General features: G+C 44.9%; 1 annotated feature.

The window, feature by feature from the left end:
• Positions 895-1395: an enhancer, noted in NCBI's record as "H3K4me1 hESC enhancer chr20:23870192-23870692 (GRCh37/hg19 assembly coordinates)". NCBI's record gives its function as "activates a minimal SCP1, AML or CMV promoter by ChIP-STARR-seq in primed H9 embryonic stem cells {active_cell/tissue: H9 hESC(primed)}" and the evidence as "EXISTENCE:reporter gene assay evidence [ECO:0000049][PMID:30033119]".

Below are 4464 nucleotides of genomic sequence, written 5' to 3' on the forward strand. Positions count from 1 at the left end.
TCTGGGGATGAGCAGATGTCAGTTCCTGCCAGGCCATATGCATCATGCTGAATATACTTTATTCCAACTCTAATGAGAAGCCTTTGAAAGGTTTTACCGGGACTATGACATGACACCTTATATGTTATTAGAAGGCTGGCATGGCCTCAAGGAAGGAACAGGCTTCTAGTCGGTGAGAATGGGAGGGTGGAGAACAGTCAGGAGGACATTGCAGTCACCCAGGAAAGGGAGGACAGTGACCTGGGCCCGTGCAGTGGTCGGGAGGTGGAGCACAGGAGACTCAGGATGTCTGTGAGAGGCAGCGAGACAGGACTTGCTGAGGGCTGGGGTGAGGGCATAGTGGGGAGGAAAGAACAGAACTCCAGCCCTGGTCTGAGCACGTGCCATGAAAATTACTGAACTAGAGGAGACATGAGGATGAGCAGATGGTCACCTCTCAGGAAGGAACCGAGAGCTGTCCTCAGGAGATTCTTGGGACATCATACATGCCAGACTGTGGATCTAAAATGTCAACCCCTGTGCCCAGCCTAGAGGGGCCAGATTTCATTAGAGTGCAGGGGAGGGTCTTCTTCCTTTTGCTGATGGACTTCATTATGAATATGGCACCACAATGGCTTTTTATTATAAAATGTTTTAAGTACCTATTTGCCAGTCATATTTGGAAAAAGAAAACATTAGCCTTTTTTTTTTTTAAATGGAGTCTCACTCTATCACCAGGCTTCAGTGCAGTGGCACGATCTTGGCTCACTGCAACCTCCGCCTTCTGGGTTCAAGTGATTCTTCCTCAGCGTCCTGGGTTCAAGTGATTCTTCCTCAGCCTCCTGAGTAGCTGGGACTACAGGTGCGTGCCACTATGCCCAGCTAAGTCTGCCATTCATGGCATTGAATGTATCTGAGAATGATGCCTGAGCTGTGTCAGAGTTGGCAGGAATGGTGAGCTTTTGGGCCCTGAGAGATGGAGTGTGTCTGAGGGGAACTAAGTGGGAAGAGGCTTGCAGAGTTGGCAACCTCCTCACCCCATGATAAAGGAGGGGACGATATGCTGAAACATCACTTGTGAAGATGAACACATCACAAAGAGAATGCCCAGATGTGGCAGATAAACCACAAAGCTACAGGGCAATTCCTGTGCCTGCAGCCACCTGCCCTGTAACTCCTGCTCAGTTCATGAGGTTGCAGAGAACCTCTGGGTTCTGCATGCTCCACTTCACCACAGTGACCACCAGAGGGAAGCATTCACCCACGGATGACCAGCCCTTCGGGTGCCTCTACTCGAGCCTCACCCTGGGGAGCAGTCTCTGAAGGTAACCCTGGGGTTGTCATAGCATCTGCCTTGGAGAAAGGGGTTTTGCAAACTAAGCACTCCCTGAGTGCCGTACGGGTTCTGCAGAGGCCCGTCGGCTTGGTTCTGTCCTCGCTGCCCTGGGCTACCTGGGCATGTGGGGTTTTATTGAACAGAGCAATGGCCAGTAGATGGCACAGCCTCCTGTTCCTGCAGCTCTCCCCAGGGCCCCTGCTGGATCTTTCCAGAAAGGAGAGACAGGCCCAGAAGTGACTCTCTCAGAAGACAGGGACATTCTGAAGGCAGGTGACAATGAACGTGTGGACACCCTGTGGACAAGTCTGGTTTCTATCTTCTCTTCCACTCTGCCTCCTCACCCCTTTCCTGGTGCTGTCTCTCTTGCTCCCTGCCCCTTTCTCAAACTACCCATCTCCTTCTTTTTCATGGTCATCTTAGTCAGTTGGAGGCGTGAATACCATGGAAAAACCACGTTTGCTGCTGTGGTTAAGAAGAACACATGATCCATTAATGAAAAACAGTTTCCCATCCAAGGCAAGGTGTCTGAGGACAAGTTTCACCTGAGTCCAGATCTGATGAGCCTGCAAACAGAGGAAAACCCTTAATGATACCTGCTCTGGCCTCGTGCTTATATTCTGCATCAAAGAGCTTTATCTTTTCACATCAAATATCATATCACCACCATCACCACTATATCATCAATATCACCATAATCTTCACAACTATTGCCACTTCCATAACCACCATCACTATCACCAGCATCACCTCCACCATCCCCACAATCATCACTACCACCATCACCATTATCTTTACCACTATCACCATTGATACCACCCCCATGATCACCATCATCATCACCAGCATCATCACCATCACCATCACCACCATGATCACCATCACCATAACCTCAACATCATGGTCATCACCATCATCACCACCCTCACCATAATCATCACTACCATCACCATCACTATTATCATCACCGTCACCATTACTGCCACCACCAAGACCATCACCATCAAAACCAGTACCACCATAATCCCCACCATCACTACCATCTTTACCACCATCACCATTATCACCATCATCATCACTATCATCACCACCATCATCATCATTATCAATACGACCGTCTCTGCCGTCATCACCATCACCACCACCACTATTACTACCATCACTATCACCAACTTCACCACTATTACCATCACCACTATTATCATTACAAGAGCTACCATCATCACCACCATTATAACCACCACCACCACCACCATCATCACTATTATCACAATCACATCACCATTATCAATACCAACATTACTGCTGTCATCAACATCACCATCACCACTACCACCATCACCATCAGTATACTCACCATCATTATACTCATCATGAGCACCGCTATCATCATCAACACCATCACCATCATTACCATTACCAGCATTACCACCATACCATCATCATCACCTTCAAAACCATCATCACCATCACCATTTTCATCTCCAGCATACCATTCTCATCTCCATCATCATCTTCAGCATCACTGCCAGGTGTCTGTCAGTAGCTGTTCTGCATTGGACATTGTGCCACACCCTTTATAAACCTCATGTGATTACATAGTCATGCTAATTCTATATTTTATAGAAAAAAGGTGGTAATTGGCTTTGAAACATGATAGAAGGGTGTGAGAATCTGCTTTCTCTTCTCAGAACTATCTACAATCAATGAAAGAGAAGACTCACTTTATTTCTCAGCTCCCACATTGCTGGATCTTCCCTACAGAGGTCTGATGTGGACATCCACTGTGAAGTCTTCACTGCTTTGCTGGTCTCCACCCTCAGATTTTGTTTCTCTGGTTCTAAAATGTTTAGAAACCCATATCCCCTGCCACATGAAGCATTGGCATCTTGCTGTCTGTGGCTGCACTCTTGCTTTTGCCCATGACATAGCCCGGCCTCTAGGGTAACTGGACTCTGATGTTCTCCAGACACAGAACTGTCCAGGCTCACATAATTCTTTCTCAAATGTTTGCACAGGTAAATTTGTGGGGATGCTGGGAATTGGAATGTGGGCTGGTAAGTTCTGAGGCAGTGAGAACCAATCAAGGGATGTGGGCAGCTTGTCCTTCTCCCCCAGCCCTCTCTGTGGGTTTGGTGTCCTTCTCTGTATTCTCCAATGCCATATTCTCTCATCTGATTTCCACTTGCCTGTCTACCACCCAAAATTCTACACCGAACATTCACTGAGGATGGAGGGCTTGGCTCTTTCGCTTTCATTTCTCCAGCACCAGATTTTGTTTCTAGCATAAAATGTATACTCAACAAAGACAGTGGGAGTGATGAAATTAAGACCATTTTATGAAAAGTCTGAAAAACTTTTATGTCTTTATTTAGAAACATTAATTTATGGAGAAATTCTCTTGAATAATTAAAAGAAAAATATTTCATAGAAGTTGCCAGGAACAAAAAGAAAATTGCTTTGTGTAATTTGAAAAATCATCCCCAAATATAAAATGCACAAAAAGGAAATGAGAGAGACGGAAAATGTAATCATCAGCCTAGAGCCCGGAAAGTAAAATAAGGTAGAAGTGAAAACGTATCACAGGTGCTACAAAGCTCATTCTCTTCCACTGAACAAGGAATTGGGTAAGAAATGCAACCAGAAGCCGTGTACTGGCACCCGAGCAGTTCCAAGCGGGTTCAGGGCAAAATGATCCTCTTGGTACTTTGGTGAACTTGATAAGTGAGTGGATGAGAAGTGTGAGTGATCACCCAGGTACACTGTCCAGGAATACTTGACTGCCCAAAGATGGATAAAATGTTTTCAAACTTTTAGGTTTCTCTTCTTCTTCAGGAACACCAATTATTCTTAAGTTTGGTCATCTATCATAATCCCAAATTTGCTGGGGGCTTTGTTTATTTTTACATTATTTTTTCTTCGTCATTGTTGGACTGAGTTAATTTGAAAACTTTGTCTTCAAGCTCAGAAGTTATTTCTTCTACTCGTTTGATTCTATTGCTGAGACTTTGCAGTGGATTTTGCATTTCTCTAAGTGTGTCCTTGATTTCCAAAAGTTGTGATTGTATTTTATTTATTTATTTATTTTCACTGGAGATTTTTCTATTCATATGCTGCATCTTTTTTTTTTTTATTTCTTTAAGTTGGAC

Source organism: Homo sapiens, chromosome 20 (assembly GCF_000001405.40).
Source record: "Homo sapiens chromosome 20, GRCh38.p14 Primary Assembly".
Lineage (NCBI taxonomy): Eukaryota > Metazoa > Chordata > Mammalia > Primates > Hominidae > Homo > Homo sapiens.